General features: G+C 58.8%; 1 protein-coding gene across 1 annotated transcript in view, besides 4 other annotated features; it reads right to left on the bottom strand.

Moving 5' to 3' along the window:
- SHANK3 (SH3 and multiple ankyrin repeat domains 3) overlaps window positions 1-19,811 on the bottom strand; it is a gene marked incomplete in the record, with an annotated part of 60,390 nt that overhangs the window by 10,297 nt on the left and 30,282 nt on the right. The window contains 9 exon segments of the mRNA NM_001372044.2: window positions 479-2,732; window positions 7,163-7,247; window positions 7,869-7,999; window positions 11,278-11,301; window positions 16,764-16,844; window positions 17,820-17,952; window positions 18,054-18,178; window positions 18,668-18,750; window positions 18,981-19,056. Coding sequence (NP_001358973.1) covers window positions 479-2,732; window positions 7,163-7,247; window positions 7,869-7,999; window positions 11,278-11,301; window positions 16,764-16,844; window positions 17,820-17,952; window positions 18,054-18,178; window positions 18,668-18,750; window positions 18,981-19,056 — 2,992 coding nt within the window.
- Window positions 17,309-17,959: an enhancer, noted in NCBI's record as "H3K27ac-H3K4me1 hESC enhancer chr22:51143385-51144035 (GRCh37/hg19 assembly coordinates)". NCBI's record gives its function as "activates a minimal SCP1, AML or CMV promoter by ChIP-STARR-seq in primed H9 embryonic stem cells {active_cell/tissue: H9 hESC(primed)}" and the evidence as "EXISTENCE:reporter gene assay evidence [ECO:0000049][PMID:30033119]".
- Window positions 17,960-18,611: an enhancer, noted in NCBI's record as "H3K27ac-H3K4me1 hESC enhancer chr22:51142733-51143384 (GRCh37/hg19 assembly coordinates)". NCBI's record gives its function as "activates a minimal SCP1, AML or CMV promoter by ChIP-STARR-seq in naive H9 embryonic stem cells {active_cell/tissue: H9 hESC(naive)}" and the evidence as "EXISTENCE:reporter gene assay evidence [ECO:0000049][PMID:30033119]".
- Window positions 17,960-19,340: a biological region, named in NCBI's record as "CDK7 strongly-dependent group 2 enhancer GRCh37_chr22:51142004-51143203".
- Window positions 18,141-19,340: an enhancer, noted in NCBI's record as "CDK7 strongly-dependent group 2 enhancer chr22:51142004-51143203 (GRCh37/hg19 assembly coordinates)". NCBI's record gives its function as "activates an origin of replication core promoter dependent on BRD2, BRD4, P300/CBP, MED14 and CDK7 cofactors, with strong dependence on CDK7, by STARR-seq in HCT116 cells {active_cell/tissue: HCT116}" and the evidence as "EXISTENCE:reporter gene assay evidence [ECO:0000049][PMID:35650434]".

Below are 19,811 nucleotides of genomic sequence, written 5' to 3'. Positions count from 1 at the left end.
AGCTGTAAGGCAGAGGGTATCAGCCACACTGGGCAGCCACATGGCCACAGAGAGGATGGGAGGAGGGAGGCGTACCTCCAAAGTAAAACACAAAACAACCCTTAATGGTAAAGACAGCCTGTGTCGGGAGGGAGAGAGAGAACTCACAGGAATCCCTGGGGCCAAGAGCCTCCAGGAGGGCCATGGAGGCGCCTCATGCCCAACCTGAGTCTCTGAGGGGAGCCCAGCTCCCACTTCTGGCACCAACAGGGACACAGTGAGCAGCAACCCTGACGTGTCAGACGCCCAGAAGAACCTCCTCTCTCGGGCAGGCCAAGCAAGACCGGATTCAGAGGTGGATGGCGGGGGCGGGTTGGGGGTTGCCACAGAAGGAATGGAACAGAACAAGGAGGAACAGGAGAGCCAGAGAACAGACAAGAGGAATGACAGACGGGGCCACGGACAAGGCACGGATCCCTCCCCGCACCGCCCTGCTCACCGAGCTGCTGCGATGGGCGACTTCTTGGCAGGGTCCAGCAGGCTGCCCAGGCCACCAACTGGTTCCTCCCCCAGGGAACGCGTGTCCTTGTTCAGCTGCTGCAGGCGGGAGCTGAGCTCACTGATCACAGTTGGTTTGTCGTCTTCAGGCCCAGGGAGCCCCCGGCTCTCCACGGGGTCCCCCCATAGCTTGGACCTTCTCTGGAAGAGGTAGCGAGGGCGGGCAGGCCCGGCGGCAGAGGCCAGCCCGGCAGAGGCGGCGTGGTGCTGCTGGGCCATGAGCTCGCTGTCCGAGGACTGCTTCAGCAGCGGGTCCCTGAAGGTCACCGGCCCCTTCCCCAGCGGGGACTTGAGCTTGGGCTTGGGAGGCACTGGTGGCTTCTCGAGTAGAAAAGTGTGTCCGTCAGCGAAGGAGGTGTGGGTGTCAGTGAGTTCCCCGCTCTCCGAGCTCAAGGTGGACATGCTGGACACCGTGGAGATGGTGCTTGTGGTCTCCAGGTGGGGGTCGCTGGAGCTGCGTGTGTCAGCCTCCTCCACCCCAGAGTCGGCTGCAGACTCAGGGGCAGGGGGTGGCTCACTGCTGGGCTTCCCTGAGGCCGGGCTGGGCACCGTGGTGGGCGAGGGGCCCGGGCCAGCGAGTGGGGTGGCCAGCAGGACCCCGTTGGCAAACTCTTCAGGGGGTGGCACCAACCCAATTCGGGCCAGCTCCTCCCTGGTCTCCTCATCGCTGGACGACAGCTGGGCAGGTGGCAGGTTCACAGCAAACACCAGCTCTGGCTCTTCCTCTGAGCTGCCCTGGCCTGGCCCGGCGTCTGCCGGGGTGCCACCAGGGGGCTGGGCCCGGGGGCTGGGCAGGGGCTCTGCCACAGCCGCTGACTGCATGGGGGCCGGGGCCAACTCCGGGGTGCCCGGGCGCTCCTCTTCGGCCCCCCCCAGCCTGCTGGGCTCCTGCCCGTTGCTGGTGGCGTGCACAACGATGAGGCCAGCTGGCCGCTGCAGGGATGTGTCCAGGACGCTGAGGATCATGGACTTCTTGTCCTCGGGTGACTTCCGCTCCTCCCGGGGGACCTTCTCTGCCTCCCTGCGAGCAGGCACAGGAATCCAGGCTGGGCTCCGTGGGGAGAAAGCCGGGGAAGCCAGGGACCCTCGCTCTGGGTCCCGGGCCTGTACATCCACAAACAGGGGTCCGGGGCGGTCGGCGTCGGGACTGTGCACGGGTGTGGGGGACCGGGAGGGCGCCTGGGAGGCCAGAGCTCGCTCTCGGGCAGCCAGGGCAAGGGCCAGGGGTGAGCTGGGGTCCAGGGGTTTGCCGGTGAGTGGGTGGATGAAGGTGGAACCCGAGGGCCCCAGGCTCGGGCCGCTGACCAACGGCTTCAGGGCAGACACCGGGGAGGGCAGCAGCAGGTCGCGGCCGGCGGTGGGGCCGGTCCCCAGGAGGCGCTCGTCGATGGAGCGGGAGGGCTGTAGGGATGGCAGATCCGCGCCGGGGGCGCTGCCCTCGATGGCCCCCACGGACAGGAACACAGTGGAGCGGCGCCGCTCCTCCAGCCGCCGGTCCTTGGCCGGGCCCGGGCCGCCGAACGCGAGCCCCGGGCCATCGCCCGCGCCGTAGTCGAGGCCACCCGGGCGCGGACCGCGGTGGGTCGGGGAGGGCTCGCGGGCGAAGCTGCCGCCGCCGGGACCGGGGCTGCCCACGGCCAGGGCCGCGCGCTCCTGCGCGTCCTCCACCTGCAGCTGCTTCACCAGGGGGCTCTTGCGGCGCTGCGGCTTGGACGGAGCGAAGAGGCTGGCGCTGAAGGCGCCCAGGTTGGCGTAGGGGCTGTCGGGGCCGGGCGGCCGCGGCCGGCGCTTGGGTCGCTCGGGCGGGGTGGCCGCGGGCGGGGGTCGAGGGGCGTCGCCCGACTCGGGCGCCGAGTCCTGCAGGATGATCATGGAGCGCGCGCGCTTCTGCCGCTCGGGATACGGCAGCGGGCCGAGGGCCGCGCCCGGCTCGTACAGGCCGGCAGCGCCCGCGCCCAGGCGCGCCTCCAGGCCGGGCTTGAAGCTGGAGCGCACCGTGTCGTAGGCGCGGCCCGGCGGGGGCGGCGGCGAGAAGGCCGGGGGCGGCCCCGAGTCGAAGTAGTAGGGCGCGGGCGGGGGAGGCGGCGCGGTCTGCGGCGGGGGCGGGATGCCGCGACCCTCGCGCACCGGGTCTTGCATCGAGGTGCTCCGCGGGAAGCGCCCTTCCAGCAGGGACGCCAGCTTCTCGTCCTCCCCTGCGGACGGAAGGGCCGGTGAGACCAGCCAGGGCGCTGGGCGGGGGGTGGTGCTGCCTTCGGAGAGGTTCCTGGGGACCCCGGCAACCCCCTCCCACAGAGGCCAGCCTTGACCCGACTCCACCCCGGGGAAGCCACCGTCCGGACACAATGGACGCCCGCGGCAGAACCCGGCGCGAGGAGCTAGAATGCTCGGGAAGATGGGGTTGGGACCCGTGGTGGGCGGGGAATGGAGGGCAGGGGAGAAACAGGGAGCCCAGAGCCCGGGCTCCGAGCAAGACCCTGGTCTGGGCTGGTCCCTGGATGCCCAAGCTCTGTGCCCCAGGCCCAGGGCTGCACGGGGAGGGCTCTTGTGAAGAGGACAGGAGAGAGGTGTGCGTTCAGTTACAGGATGGAGGAGGGCCCCACCGGGGACCCCTGAGAAAGGACACAAACTCTGACGGCCTGGGTTGGGGCCAAGACCTGCCCAAACCCAGGGTCATCAAGCAGGCCCTGAGAAGATATCCCAGAAAGGCAGGGACAGCCCCGCAAGACATGGGGACAGAACTGCTGAGGGGCTTGGAGGGGCCAGTACAGGGCTCCCCACCCCAGAATCAACAAGGCCGACGCAGAAGTACCAGCCCTGGAGGCAACCAGAGGTGAGAGGAAGATAGTCGGAAATGAGCAGGAGTGACACACTGGCAGGGTGAGGGGCAGCAGGGCTGTGGCCACTGGAGCCAGGCCTCCAGCAGAGAAAGACCTAATGCCCACCCAGGTAAGGAGGTGCCCTGTGGAGGAAGCCTTGAGAGGCTCCTCCCAGAGACCCGCATGGGTGAGTGGGTGAAGGGAAGAACGGACGGATCAATCAAAATGGAACTGCAGGCTGAGCACCCAGCATGTTTCATTTTAACCCCTACTGGCAGCGTGACCCCAGGCCAGGCCCTGAGCCCCTTTGAGCTTCAGTAACCCCCCTCTGCATGCCTTGCTCAGACATCATTGTTAGGGTCCTGTGCAGGGGCTGGAGTGCTCAGGGCCCTCATGCTCCTGCTGTCCAGCAGAACCTGACACAACCTCCTGAACACCCCTGTGGACATCATGATGCGGACACACGTGCTGCAGGTGTGTTCAGTGAGGCTGCAGGGGGCGGACGGCCCCACACCCACACACCCAGGTCTCGTGGTGCTCCTGTTCCCAGCCTCACTCTGAGATTGGTCAACATTTTTATGAACTCGCTAAAATACAGACTGCCTGTTCCTGATCGCATCCTCCTCCAGCCACCGCAGTGCTAATGAGGCCTCCAGTACTACACTGCTTCTTGCTGGGCATAATATCTCTTTGTAGCCAAGGTACCAAGGGTGGGCTTTTGTGTACAGACCTAGGCTTGAATTTTAGATCTGCCAGGAACTTCAGAAGCCTCTAGGAACTTCAGTTTCCTCATGTCAAGAGGACAGCCTGCAACTATTGTGGGGCGATTTCACCTTTACAGTGCAGGGCTGAACTGCAGCAGTATCCTGGGAATGGGGGAAGGGGGCCGAGGTCATCATCATCGTGATTTTTAGGTCTGCCTTCCCCCCATCCCCAACCGCTGGACAGAGAAATTGTGCCCAGTTCGTCCTGGGTCTCCTGCTGCATTCCCTGCACTGTGTATGAACACGCAGTGAACACCCACAGCCTATGTGTTAGATGGAGCGACGCAGAATGAGCGCACCTTGAGGATGCAGAAGGCGGGAGTGACGTGCAAAGATGAAATAAGGGGAAACTTAATGCTAATAGCATGCCAAGTTCTGACTTAGGGTAAAGAAAAGTCACTTGCCTCAGCATGGAATGGGGAATCTGTTCTGATACCATCTGGGGCGGGGGTGGGACCCCTTGGGGGCAGAGGCAGACCCTCTTTGTCTGCCTAGGTCATAGCAGAGAGCATTTCTCGAGCACCCACTGTGTGCCAACCTCAAGAGGCAGCATCTACGTCTACTAACACTGGCAGCTGCTGAGCACTCCCAGCATGCCACGCGGTCTGTGAGTGCCATCTACCGGGGGAGACTCAGAGTGGTCCTTGGAGGTGGGTAATAGGTGGTCTCCATGTTTATGGATCAAAATCCTGATGTTTCAAGGGCTGCATCGTGTGCCCAGAGCAACAGAGCCAGGGCATGGGGCAGGGGCCTGGGGAGTCTGACAACCCAACCAATGTGCATGCTGGCAGCTGAGGCCCAGCAGGCCAAGAGGAGCCAAAAAGGAGCACCTGTCCACCCATCCATCAACCGAGTACAAGAGGGTGCCTGAGGGACCAGTGCAGAACTGGCAGTCCTAGGAGAGTGGCTCAAGGCCTGCAGGGCAGGTGCATGGACCTAGACCTGCAGGGTCGGGCCCAGGAACAGCAAGAGTCAGAAGACCCAGGTCAAGGGAGGCAGAGACAAATGTTTCCAGATGAAGCAGGAGAGCACTGGGGCCGATCTCCAGGGCCCTGAGGCAATGAGGAGTGCACAGAGGGTCAAGCTGGACGGATATGGGGTGATAGCAGCTCTGCGGAAAGCCTGATTTGGCCAGAGGGATGGACCAGAGGGCAGAGCCAGGGCAGGCAGTCATGAGAACAAAGCCATGGTCCAGCTGCAAGGTGATGAGACCTGTGCAGGGCAGGGCTGTGAGGCCACCCACCCCGACACATCAGGTGAGGCAGAGGATAAGAAAGAAACCATGGAAGACACTCAGTGTTTAGGCCAGGGAGAGCAGGGGAGAGCGCTTCTCAGCTCCAAAGTAGCTGCAGCCTCACCAGCCTTCTTCCCCACAATCCCACCTACAGAAATAACTCTTGGCAGTCTCTGAGGGACCAGGTCACACACCCATATGCCTTTTCCACACTGCTCTGTCAGTTCACCCCATTATCGCCCAGAAACTCCCATTTATCTTGCACATCTTAGCTCAAAAGTACCCCCACCCCGACACACACAGCCTTCTGTGACACCAGGTGTGCTTGGAGCCCCCCAGTGGGCTCCATTGGTCCGTGAGCCCTGGCACCCACAATGTGCCCGCTGAGCTCTCTGCACACGTCACATTCCCTAACCAAGCCCCAGACTTGGCCCAGGATCGGCCTTGTGTGAACACAAATTGGCAGGGTCCTGAGGCAGGTGAGGAATCCGAGTTTGGGCAGCTGTGTGATCTTGGGCAGGTCATTTACCCTCCTTGCTTCAGTTTTCTCATCTGTAAAATGGAGGTACTAGTGGTCTCAACCTCAATATGGTTATTCTAAGTATTAAATGCTCAGTGTCCAGCCCGTAGTAAGTGCTGAGAGGTTTACTCCTATGTGTAACAGATGGGAGGTGTGCTGGGGTTTGTATGGACAACGGACGGTCAAGTGGGCAGGTGTGTGGGTGGACAGATGCACAGGTGGGCAGGGGACGGGAGAGTGGATGTCTGGAGGGATGCACAGTGGGCAGGGCTTGTTACATGTCCCCATCTGGGTCAGGAAAGGAGACGGTGAGTGTGGAGTGTGATGGTGGCTGGGGAGTGGTGAGGCACAGAGGGGAAGGAGGCTGAAGACACAGCCTTGAAAAGGTCCCATATTTGGGAGGCTGGGGCGGCAGGGTTGAAATAGGTGCCATCTGAGAAAGGAGGGGAAAACCAGTAAGTGTTGTCCTAAAGCTTTGGGGAGGAGCGTTTCACGGAAGAAGGAGCAAAGAAACCAAATGCCAGCTGAGGTCAGCAGGAGTGCTGGCCATGCATCCATGGGGAGGAAGGCCCTGGAGGCCGCCGGTGACCCTGGTGGGAGCAGTTTCAATTTGGGTATGGAGAGAGGAAGTCTGCCGCAGGCTGAGGAGCCGGTGGGGGACGGGAGACAAGATGGACAGTAGAGGTGACTTTTTGGGGAAAACTGGCTGTGAAGGGGGGAGACAGCAATACATGGAGAAGTAGGGGAGAGGCAAGTTCAGGGGGTTTGAGGGTCAGAAACTTCACATGCACTTGGGCTGCAAGGGAGCAACCGCGATGGAGGCAGCTGAGCTGGGGACAGGGATGAGGCTGCCCATGGGAAGGATGAGAGGTGATGGGGAGGTGGGGGTGCCCAGTGGACAGGGAGTGGCAGCTGGGGACAGGGATGAGGCTGCCCATGGGAGGGATGAGAGGTGATGGGGAGGTGGGGGTGCCCAGTGGACAGGGAGTGGCAGCTGGGGACAGGGATGAGACTGCCCATGGGAGGGATGAGGCGATGGGGGGCGGTGCCCACTGGACAGGGAGTGTCGGCTGCCGGGGGAAAGCTCTGGGTTGGGGAAGGCCTAATCCCCACATGTCCATCAACGTATGAGATCCTTTAGCTGGGGCCAGGAAGAGACAGGACTGAGAGGGAAACTGGAAACCCCAGTTATGGGCAGAGAGAGGCAGTGTCCTTCAAACCCAAGTCCACCCTGCCGGCCCCAGCCCCGTTCCTCCCCACCCCATGCAGCCCCACAGCGCAGCCATACCTACAGACTTGGTCCGTGGAATCCCCTTCCGCAAGGAGCCCGGCAGCTTCTCTGGGCCTGGGAGGCCCTGGCGTTCAAACAATGACTGTGGGGGTCAGGGAGGGGAATATGGAGGTTCCAGGGCACTGGGGGCCCCCAGTCCTCCTCCTAAGCCAGAGGTGAGACACCCCACGCTCTCACTCCAATGGCACTAGTGCCTGTGGGTGCCTGGACCCAGGAATCACGTCTGGACTCTGCCCTCAGGGAGCAGAGGATGCAGCCCATTGGAGCCTGGGCTGTGTGGGCAGTGCAGATGGTGGTACAGTGTAGACGGTGTTGGGCAGGGTGGGTGCAGACCCTGGCCGACCCTGGGTGAGGGTGGGGGAGGAGCCTAGAAGGCGCCGGGTTGGCAAGTGGGCAGGGAACAGAGACATGCTTTGTCGTGTTCTCAGCGGAGCTGGGGTACCTTGGTGGTCTCAGGCGTGAGACAGGGACTGCCTGAAGGCAGAGGCACCAAAAGCTACAAGAGCAAACCCAGCAGGTGCTGAGCTGTGGCCATTTAGGGGGCAGAGACAGCCCCAAGAGTCTCTGAGAGAGGCCATGGGGTGCACACACCCCTCTGGAGAGGGGTCCACATGATAGGCTCTCACCTCCGTCAAGAGGGCCCAGGACAGTCTGACCCCCATGCCTGCCCGACCCAGCGCTCCCAGCCGCCCGTGGCCCTTACGCTAATCTCGGCGGGTGTGATCCTCCGACTGGTGGGCCTCTGTTTGACGGTGGCGGCTCTGGAGTCTGCGTCTGCGATGTCTGGCCGCAGCGTTGGCTCTGCGGCGGCTGCCAGCATCTCGTCCAGCTTCTCTGCACAGCAAGGAGGCTCCATCTCAGCTGCCTGGGCCACCTCCTGCCCCACTGCCATGTCCTCCCCAACCCGGCCACCCGTGATGCTGACAGAGGCCACCGCTCCCCTCCCTCCTTGAGCTCCCACCCCAGGCTCCCAAGACAAGGCCCTCACCCCAGAACTCAGACCCCACCCCAGGCAGCCTCTCTAGCCTCAAGGAGACTCCAGGTGACCCTGTGGACCTCACTTAAGGAAAGGCCACTCTGACCATGAGGGAGAAGACCAGGGCACAGGACAGACAAACGATTCAGAGACCACAGTCTCCCTGGATTTCCCTCCATTTCCCTTCGTCCTGTCACTGTTCTCAGCACATACAGGCCACTCTTGGCTATCTGTACCGCACTGGAAGGGAAGCTGTTCACAGCGGGTCACAGCCCGAGGACAGACCCTGATGTACAAGCAGGTTTCCACAGAAGATCAAAGTGACTTGGAAACTGTTAAACTAATACGTGTATCTCAGGACCATCAGAGCCCTGGTTGGATGGCTCCCCCAGGACATAAGCAGCTCTCGCCCCCTGTGGGTCCACTGAGGACCAGTGCGTGCAGCATGCAGCAAGGGCTGGGGCAGCACTCATGTCCACCTGGCTGCTGCACCGGCCCTCTCATTCAGCAGCCCCACTGCACCCCACCCATCACTCAGGCTGCACCCAACCCCAAGCCCTTCTCCACTCTTTGGGGCTATGCCAACCCTAGAGGGACCACTGTCTGGCCACACTTGTCTTGGCACCTTTCACTCTTGTCTTGGCCCCTTGTTGGAGAATTTCAACGGTCAGACTGGACACCTCCTACTCCTTCCAACTCCAATCTGCAGCTGTTCACAGCACCTGCTGATTCTACCTCTGCAATCTGCTTAGCATTGCTGGAAGGAAGGAAGGAACTCCCCAAGCTTAGCATTGCTGGAAGGAAGGAACTCCCCAAGACTGTCCTGTACCCAACCCAGACCAGACCCACCCTGTACACTGACTCTGTCCTGACATAACCTCTTTGTGACCTCTGTGTCCTCATTGATAAAACAGGCATAAAAACAGTGCTCGCTCACGTGTCTCTAGTGAGAATTAGCACAGAAGAAAGGCTTACAACTGTGCTGGCACTGGACACAATTCAGTACAATTCATGTCTGTGTGCCCCATCTCCCCAGACAGCTTCCGGGTCTGCAGAACAGAGCAAATACTGTTCTCTGTGTTCCATCAGCGCCCAGCCTGTGTCCTGAACGATACAAGAGTTTACCAGCAAAACAGGCTCCAACTGCAGATATCTGGGCCTGTGCACAGCTCCCAGTGCCACCAGGTGACAGGGGCCCAGGTACAGACCAGGGGCTGCTGGTTTGAGGGGACTTCTCATTTGCTTTTGTCATGAAGTGAATGATTTCTTTTTGGGAGTTGAAGTCACCATTGCCACCATCTGTTAAGTTCTTGGTGATTTCTAGAGTATGCGGGACTTTATGCAAACCACTCCTCTCATCCCACAACTACACGAGGATTTTATCATCACCCTTATCCAACCCAGGAGCAAACTGAAGCGAAATTGCCATAAATCTCTGACTAGGAAGTAAGAGATGAGACTTAAGCACCATACTCCCCGGAAACTGCAGAAGTAAAGATATGAATGGAGAGAAAACTCCGTGAGGCACACACGGCTCAGCATCATGGGAGACACGTTGCCGCCTGAGCCACGGGCTAGGAGAGGCTGTCTCTCTAGGTCTGGAAGACCCATCCCAGAGACCCACAGCGGGACGCACATAACGTTTAGTGAGCAGCTGTTTCTGGTCATCCGGCGATGGTGCTGGAGCCGGGTGAGAAGTGTTTTCAAAAGGGAAAGGATTCATCAAGAATTCTGCAAATTACAAACTGATGAGGTTGACATAAATCTCCCCCCAATATTAGAGGATATATTCTTAAATAAATAATTTTAGATAATTAAGGGAAACAAAGCCCATCAGGAACCAAGTGGACCCGCTCACTCCCAGGGCCCTCTGGGTGCACAGCAGGACACAGCTGGGTTTGCAGCTGTTTGATCAACAGGGCCCCAGCCTGCGGGATGATCAACCAGCCATCACTTCTTCCACAACTGGAGCAGCACCTGGGCTGCAACACAGCACCCTGGGAGCCCCACTAACGAGCTAGAGGGCAGAGCCAGAAGATTCCAGAAATAGCTTGTATGTCTGCCCCAAAGGCATGCAGAAAAGGTCACTGGAGGAGACCTTGTCACCTGTTTTTAATACCTGAGAAGACACTGGGGAAGCCCTTCACCTGGGCTGGGGCAAGAGGCAGCAAGGGGACCTCAAGAGGGCTGGGCCAAGGGCCTGGCAGATGTGTCCTCACCCAGGGAAAGCCCAGTGGGTCGAGAGAGAGGGAGGGATGGGCATCAGGTACACGGACGTGGAGCAAATATACAGGCCTGGGTGGAGAAAGCCACCTCAAGCCTCTGTCTGGGCCCTGATTCCCATCCACCCGAGAGGCAGAGGAGGCTGCCGGAAGCCGGGTCCCAGGACTTCACCAGACAGTGGACCTCAGTACCCAGGCCCAGGTGACTGTCCCCACCTGAATGCGCCCTCCCCTGCAACCAGGCTGAACATAAAGGACATACAGGGAGCAGCCCCAAAGGGTAGAGGGAGGCCTGAACGGGGGTTCAGGAGGGTAGTCAACAGCCTGGGGTCTTTGGCCAGGGGAGCTCCAAGCTCCTTCCCCAGTGCTGTGGGACTCAGACCCCTGCTCTGAAGGGACCATCAGCTCTGGGCTTGGCCCTACAACCAACCAGCACGGGAGTAGGTCCCACAACCCAAGCACAGGCCCCGAGAGGACCAGCAGAAAGAAGCAACGTGCACGCCAACACGGCCCAGTCTCCCTGCTCCCTAGAGCTCCCCCTCTGGGACCCTCGGAGCCCTTTCCCTCCTGCTGTCCGGGCCATGGTGCATGCAGTGGCCTCCACGGGGCTCTCCCAGCTCCTCCCCACGGGCTGCCTCCATCAGGCTATCTGCACAGCTCACAGGCCCCAGGCTCACCTGAGCCCCCAAGGCCATCACAGTCTCAGAGGGTCACACCCCTGGGAACTCCCCATCCATCCTTGCAGGCCCTTCTCTCATGCCCCTACCAGATGCCCAGGGAGAAGGCCAACAGGAGGGTGCAGCCCAGGCTTCCAGGCCACCCTGACTTGCGCTGGAACCTCCTCACACACCAGCACTCCCCCAGACAGGGGTCAGGCAAAGCCAAGGCCCTGGGGACACAGGCAGATGACTCACCCCCTTTTCTTCTCCGAATGGAGGCTTGGAATCAAGAAACAGAGTAAAGGGAGTAAGAGGCAGGCTCGGCACCCGGGCCCCATTATCCACACTCATTTCCCCACCCCATCCCTCTCACCACCACCTCCCCCAAAAACCATGACCTCCCAAATCTGCCCCCAGCCTACACCTCTTTATCAGACCGTGAATAGCAAATCTGCCCAACTCTGGAGTCAGTTGGTACATGCCTTGAAAGCCAAGGAGGAAACAACCACAAGCAGGGACTTGTGTGTGTGTGCCACATGCATGCAGGTGCACACAGCGCATGTCCACTCACCCACGCACAGACATGTGTGCTGCATGCACGCAGGGGCACACAGCGCGTATCCGCTCACCCACGCACACACGTGTGCCACACGCATGCAGGCGCACACTGCATATCCGCTCACCCACGCACAGACGTGTGCCACACGCATGCAGGCGCACACAGCGCGTATCCGCTCACCCACGCACAGACGTGTGCTGCATGCACGCAGGTGCATACAGCGCGTATCCGCTCACCCACGCACACACGTGTGCCACACGCATGCAGGTGCACACAGCGCGTCTGCTCACCCACGCACAGACATGTGTGCCACACGCATGCAGGCGCACACAGTGCGTATCCGCTCACCCATGCACACACGTGTGCCACACGCATGCAGGTGCACACAGCACGTGTCCACTCACCCACGCACAGACATGTGTGCCGCATGCACGCAGGTGCAGACAGCGCGTGTCCGCTCACCAACGCACAGACACGCACACACACACAGATATGCACAACTCCATCATGCTTGGCTCAGTCAAACGTTTGTTCAGAAAAAAGGCAAAACCCCATAGAAAACAAGTTCAGGTGTCGCTGAAAATTAAGGTGGTCACCTCTGTGTTCTGTTCAAAGTCGGTCTTAAAAGGCAGGGCAAGTGTGTTTGGCACAGAAACCTTTTCCAGGACAAGGCCACTCACATAGATGCTGGGTGTGGCACCTACCCTGATGTTCTCATCACAAAAGAAAAAGGGGCCCAGAAATTACAGGGAAGTCCAGAGTTCTCCCGGGAACGTGAATACACAGGAAGGGCTTGGACCCGCCACAGGGCCTTCCCTGGCCTGGGTCTCCACTGACCTGTGGCCCCAGCACATTCCTGGTACAAACCGAGCAGACATGCATGTGGCGACCATGAGGAGCCCCCAGTGCTGAGGGGAGGAGGGGTGTTCTGCCCTCTTCTCTCTCTCACCACCTATCTCAGGAGGGTCCCCACCCAGCCCCTTCCTCTCACTCCCAGCTCTGCAACCCTCCATTTTCCAGGCACCAGCCTTTGCTCACCCCATTCCCCCACAGGATACCCCTTCCCTCCCCTTCCTCCAACAGGGCCATGCCTCTCCCACATCCTCCGAGCAGCAAACAGCCACCTGGACAGGAGCCTCCGACTTGCACCTGCTTTCTCTGACACCTCACTTTCTTTTCTTTTTAGGTGTCCAGGCACCTTCTCGATAGACTATGGATCCTAAAGGGCTCTAATAGCTCTTGACAGTGTGAGGCAGTTCTGATGTGTTCATGCCAGCAGTGACCAACAGGCCTCATTTCTATCTTCTGAAAGCAAAAACACTGGGTTGTGGGATGGTCCCTTAGGTACCTGGGGAAACCCTGATGCTGGCATGGCGTCCTCAAATCAGGCATTTCCAGAGGGGACTTCCAGAAGCCCTGCTGGCTTCCCAGGACAGCTGTCTTCTGGGGACAGGGTGGCTTCCTGAGCTCCAGAAGTGTGGGTAGAGGCTCTGCGCTAAGCTGTCCCTTCATCCTCCCCCAGACTCTGCTCAGAAAAAAGCCTGGAAAATTATGGTGGCCTGAAGCTGTGAGCAACTCCTCTGGAAGACCGGGCTCTGCAAAGTGACTCCAGCAACCTGTCCTGAGGCTTGTTGCAGAAGAGGGAACACTCAGCCCAGAGGGGAGGGAAAGGAGCGTCTTCATTCACCAGTTTCTTCAGGCAGAAAAGCCCAGAGAGCAAAGCGCAGTCCTTCCGTTTCCATAGGGCAGAGTCCCTGGGTCCCAGGATTACGGATCTCAGGCTGCCCAAAAGCCCCGTGGTGCTGAATAGAAGAGTCCCTTCTGAACATGCAGCTGACTGTGGCTATGTGACAGCCTCTGGCAGGAGAATCCTGGGACCCAGCTGCCTACTGGTGCTGGCTTATTGATCAGTTTGGATCTTCAATTGACAGGTCAGCTCCCCGTGACTGACCTTGGACCCTCATGACCCGAGTGCCAGAGGTCTAGGATTAGCCTCTCTGCCTCACTCCTGAATGAGCAGGATTAGCGGGGTATAGAATTCTAGGTGGAAAAGAATTTTGACTCCACACTTTGAAGCTCTTCTTCCATCATCTACTGTCATCTGCCACTGCTGATGAGAAGTCTGTTGTCAGTTGGACCACTGCTCCCGTCTAAGACATCCAGCAGCCCATCTCTCTCTCTCTCTCATCATTTTTTGCTTTGTTTTGTTTTGAGACAGGGTCTCGCTCTGTTGCCCAGGCTGGAGTGCACTGGCATGATCTTGGCTCACTGCAACCTCCACGTCCCAGGCTTAAGCAATCCTCCCACCTCAGCCTCCTGAGTAGCTGGGACCACAGGCACACACCACCATGCCAGGATAATTTTTGTATTTTTAGTAGAGATAGGGTTTCGCCATGTTCCCCAGGCTGGTCTCAAACTCCTAGACTCAAGTGATCCACCTGTCTTGGCCTCCCAGAGTGCTGAGAGTACAGGCATGAGCCACCGCACCCAGCCTCTCTCATTGTTTTAAAGATTTCTGCTTGCTCACAGCATTCTACAGTTTTACTATGAAAGATGTGGATACAGATTTGTTTTTATTTCCTTGCTGAGACTTATATTTCTTTAAACTGAAGACTCATGTCTTTGTTCAACTTTCGGAAATTCTTAAGCCATCTCATCTCCAAATATTGCCTCCAGGCAACATTTTATTTTTGCTTCCACGCCTTGCATTAGGTAGATGCTGGGATTTTCCCAATAGTCCCATTGAATTATCTATGTGATTTTTGTGTGTGTGTGTCCTAACTGCTCTTTGATATTTTCTATCTCCTTATATTTCTGTGCTATATTCTGGGTAACCTCAGATTTATCTTCTAACTTGCTGTTTCTTTCTTCACCTGGGTCTAGTGTACTGTTTATCCCAGGCATGGCTTTCTTTTTTATCTCAGTGACTACACTTTTTGTTTCAATAACAGTTCTTTAAGAATCCTTCTGGCTGGGCGCAGTGGCTCACGCCTGTAATCCCAGCACTTTGGGAGGCCGAGGCAGGTGAATCACAAGGTCAGCAGTTCGAGACCAGCCTGGCCAACATGGTGAAACCCCATCTCTACTAAAAATACAAAAAATTAGCTGGGTGTGGTGTTGTGCGCCTGTAATCCCAGCTACTCAGGAGGCTGAGCCAAGAGAATCACTTGAACCCGGGAGGCGGAGGATGCAGTGAGCCGAGATCGCGCCACTGCACTCCAGCTGGTAATAGAACGAGACTCAGTCTAAAAAAAAAAAAAAAAAAAAAAGAATCATTCTAAAATGTGCTTATTCTTTTTTTGCTTGTTTGTTCTGTCCTATTCTCTCATTAGTTCTGTTAGTTCTTTTAATCTTTGTGACAATTTACTTTATTTTAATGTTTTTCATATTCTTCTCTGATTTCCAGTTCTTTCGAAGCTAATTCCAGTGGTTGGGCTTGGTTTTTAACCTTCCCGCTTCTCACAGGTCCAGCCACGTCTCCCAGCCTTGTGGGGGCCTCAGGACCCCAACCCCTTGCCCCTGCGTACTAGATAACGAGCTATGGAAGCCTCTGGCTTTGGTTTCTCTCCTTTTCATTCTGAATTATCTACATGGGGTTTTTTGTTTTTTTCTTTGGGTTTTATTTTATTTGGAATAGCTATGGTGAAAATTCTGACCACGTCAGCCCAATGGACGTTGGTAGCTGTTCTCCACCCTGAACTAAACTGCAGTTAAGACCACCTGCTTGGCATGGGGCAGCTCAGCCTGTGGCAAGGACAGGGTCAGGGCTTGGTTCATGAGTGAGGTCAGGGATAATTCTGGGGACCAGGAAAAGGGTTCCTTCTATGGCTGGGGTAGAACCAAGACTGAAGCCAGGGATAGGGCTCAGCCTAGAACCAGAATGGGGTCCCTTCCTGTGGCCAGGACTTCAGGGTTCAGTTTAGGACCAAAGTTGGGGTTCCTTCTATGACCAGAGGCAGAGTTAAGTCTGGGAACAGAACTGGGCTCAGATCACAGAAAGAAAGAGCCTCACGCCTGTAATCCCAGCACTTTGGGAGGCCGAGGCAGGCAGATTACCTGAGGTCAGGAGTTCGAGACCAGCCCGGCCAACATGGTGACACCCCGCCTCTACTAAAAATACAAAAAAAAAAAAAAAAAAATTAGCCGTGCATGGTGGCGGGTGCCTGTAATCCCAGCTACTTGGGAGGCTGAGGCAGGAGAATCACTTGAACCCAAGAAGTGGAGGTTGCAGTGAGCCGAGAACGTGTCATTGCACTCCAGCCTGGGCAACAAGAGTGAAACTGTCTCAAAAAAAAAAAAAAAGAAAAAAAAAAAGAAAGAAAGAGCCTGTCAACTGTCACGTACAGTGGGACATGCCCATGACGAGGCTGTTGATGGCCACATGTATAGCACATACCCACAGTGAGGACAACGGTCACACGTAATGGGACAGTCCCATGAAGAGGCTACTGACTGTCACGTCAGGACATGATCAAGTATATCTGGACGTGCACATGACAAGGTTGTTAATGGACACATATATAAGACCTGCCCATGAAGAGGCTGTTGATGGTCAACCAGGGCTTGTGCCCAGAACATGCCCCATCAAACCCCAACACACTCCTGCTCCCCTCCTGCCGCGCTCGAGGCCCTGCCCCATCATCCCACCGACAGTACTCCTGTGGCCTGTGGGGTCAGCAGGGCCACCTGTCAATGAGTGCACAGTCACCAAGAGGGTAAAATAAACACAGAGCTGACACAGCCAGTGCCTGGCAGAGCCAGCAGCAGACCCTGGTCACCTCACTACCGCTCTCTCCTCACTTGGATGAAATGCAGGAGTAAAGTCAAAGTGGAGACGTGGAAAACCAGAGGCAGCACACGCACACACATGCACACACATGCAAACATACTGGTGGGCCAGGCCCTGCTCCCCGTCATCTGTCCTGGACACCCCACTGTCCATCCCCAGCCTCTCACATCTCACCCCTTCCACATGCCACCCTCTCCTCACCCCACAAGCACCAAATTTCCCCATCGCGCCAGCACCCACCCATTCACCTCTGACCTGCTCTTGTACCCACCTGTCCTTCCTACCCTCTGGCTGGACCGCCTGCCCTCCCGTACCACCTGTGTCTCCCGGCCCTGTCTGCCCATCATGGACCGTCCACCTGCGTCCACCTCCACCGCCACCCCCGCCACTCACCAAGTTCCTCGAGCTCAGCTGTCATGGACTTGGAGCGCAGGGTCAGTGTGGTGCTGGGGGCCCTCTTGGGGGGCGGTGGGGCTGCAAAGAAGAGGGAGGCCTTGGACCTCCTGTCCAGCAGCAGGCGGCGCGGCGTGGCCAGGTGCAGGTGCCACTTGCGCTCCACCGCCTGGATCTCCTCGTACTCCCGCGAGGATGAGTCGCACTGTGCCAGGATCTTGTTCAGGTTACGGCTGGACGCAAACTTCTTCATGGCTCAAGGAGCTCAGGGAGTGCGGGGGGGGGGGGGCGGGCGGTCAGGGCCTCAGGGGCCCTGGGAACCCCCAGAATCAGGGCCTCAGGAGACGATCAAGGGTGCTGGCGGGGGTCACGGTGCCGGCTGGCTCTGGCCTGAGCACCCACCCTGCAGGCTTCGAGGGCTAAGCAAGGGGGCACCAGAGCCATGGGGTGGGGGCTGGGAGGGGTCTCCTTGCGGGCGGGGCTCCTGCTGCTCCAGGGCTCCCCCCAGGCCCGGGTGGCCACTGCCCCTTGTGGGGCCAGGGTGTGGTCAGCCAAGCCACGGGCCTGGGCTGGGCCTGGCCGGCAAAGCCTCCTGGGCCCAGGCTGTGCCGCGTCGTCGCGGGGAGAAGACGCTTTTCCTCTTCCCTCAGGTGCCGCCTCCCCCTTCCCTCCGACAATAAGCAGCGCGGCAGCGTCAACCTCACAGTTGCTATGGCAACCCCGGCCTCCAGGCAGCTGCTGGCGGTGTAGGGAAGGAGGGCTCTGCCACGCCAGGGGCTGGGGGAACGCCGGGAAGGAGGGGGCAGGGATCTGAGGAGGGGCAGCCTGAGGTCAGGGGTCAGGGGTCAAAGGCCTCAGGCCAGGGGACAGGACTGGCAGTCTAGCACCAGGGATCGGGAGGGGTCCCAGCCCACACGTGTGGGTGGTTCATTGAGGTTCAGGAATCTGATGTCAGCAGTTGGGGGTCAGGGATGGGAAGAGGAATGTGGGCCTGAAGTCAAAGGTCTAAGGTCAGGGGAAAGTTTGGGCACAGAGGCCTGAAGCGTGACCCCTCACCTCTGCGCCGAGCCCCGTCCTCTTCTGGCTTCCTTGTCACAGACACAACCTTCATGACGAGGCGGTTGCCACCCTGGCGAATCAGAGCCACCACCTGCTTGTGTCCGACCTTCACCACGTTCACCCCGTTCACCTGGGATAGACAGGCAGCTGGGTGGGGACGCCCCAGGCACGTCCACCACAGGGCTCAGGGCTCAGCATCCCACTGGGCAGCACCGGCCAGAACGACCTCACCTCGATGAGGAAGTCTCCCGTGCGCAGCCCGGCCCTCCAGGCCACACCCTCCACGTCCACCGACTCGAGATACTGCAGCGCCGGGAAGGCTGGCGTGGGCGTGAACTCCTCGATGGGGGTCTCTGCTGCGGGGGGCAATTAGGAAGGCGCTTCACCAGCTAGGTTCGGGTGGGGGCGGCTGCCACACAGCAACCTCCGAGTGGCTCAGCACAGGAAAGAGATGACTGCGGGGGGCAGTGACCCGGGGCTGGGGGAGGGCCACGGGGAGCCACAGCGCAGGGACGAGCCGGCCCAAGGATCCTAGACATGACCCTCTGCAAAACTCCCTTTGCCCATGCCAGAAAAGCCCCCACTCGGTTAGACTCTAGAGCAAAGACAGTGGAAAACAACGAAGGGAAGGAATTGCCGCCTGGGCCGGGACGTTGCAAACCACGACGGTCGCGACCGAGCAGAGGAACCAGGAAAGCCGGGGCCAAAAGCGGGAGCCGCAGGGGCAAGGCAGGGAGGGAGTGTGGGGCAGAGCAGAGTTGGGGGCAGAAGCAAGAAGCTGAAGACATCCCTGAGCGGTGTGCAGCCCCTGCCTGCCTGACCCCCGGGCACCCACTCCCCATTACCTTTGGCTCCCCGGAGCACAAAACCAAAGCCCTCGTGGTCCCGTTTCTGCAGGACAGCCACTTTGTCATCAATGACATAATCGCTGATGAAGGAAAGCAGGGAGGAGTGAGGTAAGCCCTGCCTCGAGGTTGGCCGGCCACAGTCCACCCTGCAGTCACCCCGGGACTGACAGGCCGGGCAGCAGAAGAGAGGTCGGCCAGGCACATTCCCTTGCCCTCCTCTGACCTCTTCATACCTGGCCTCCCTCTACACTGCAGGTCCTGCCCCACGTCCCACATGCATGCTCCCGCCAGCCAGGGTCCCTGCACGTACCTGTGTGAGGTGAGGCTGTCGTAGGAGCCCACTGTGTAGTGCCGAAAGAGCCGCTTCGTCCGGTCCTCCCGCGTTTCTGAAGGGAGTATCGGGAGCTGATGGACAGTCGTGGCCTCCAGCTGGCCTGCCTCAACTGCCCTCACCCATGCTGGTCACCAGTCTCTGCCCACACACACCCCCTTGGCCTGGTTGTGTCCAGATGGAAGTAGGGGGCCCCAAATCCTGGAGTCCTGGGTCCAGAGGTAAGAAGGCTGAGGGGATGATGTAGGGAATTCTGACCTCCGTGGGTCAGGGCCCAAGAGGGGGCAGCAGCTCATCTCTTTCCTAAGTAGCTGCTGAACCAGGAGTCCAAACAAGGCCAGAGCCGTCCACAGAGCGTAAGTGAGCCCCAAGGCTGCGAGCAAAGAGGGGGGTGTGCACATACGTGTGTGTGTGAGAGATCCGTGGTCATGTGTAGATGCTGTGCTCATGCACGTGTCTCTATATGAGCCCACTGTGTGCAAGTGCCGTGCTCATGTGTCTGTGTGACCTGCCGTCATGTGCGTGTGAGGTGTGTTCATGCATGTGTGTGTGCACATCTGAATCTGCATTACCCACACTCATGTACAAATGCCGTGCTATGTGCCTATAGGCGCTGGCATGGAAGCAGCGTTCTGTCTTCACCAACTTCTTCACAATAGCTCCTTGATGCTCAACCTCATGGGGTCCCTTGCTTCAGACTAACTGTGAGTGGGGCAGGGGATCTAGGTGTGTGGGCTGGGTCCCCTGCCCTGACCTCGATGCATCCCACAGAGCTTGGTCCCCAACTGTCCTCTTGATCTCAAGTCCCAC

This window comes from Homo sapiens, chromosome 22 (assembly GCF_000001405.40).
Source record: "Homo sapiens chromosome 22, GRCh38.p14 Primary Assembly".
Lineage (NCBI taxonomy): Eukaryota > Metazoa > Chordata > Mammalia > Primates > Hominidae > Homo > Homo sapiens.
This window is presented reverse-complemented; position numbering and strand designations above follow the sequence as displayed.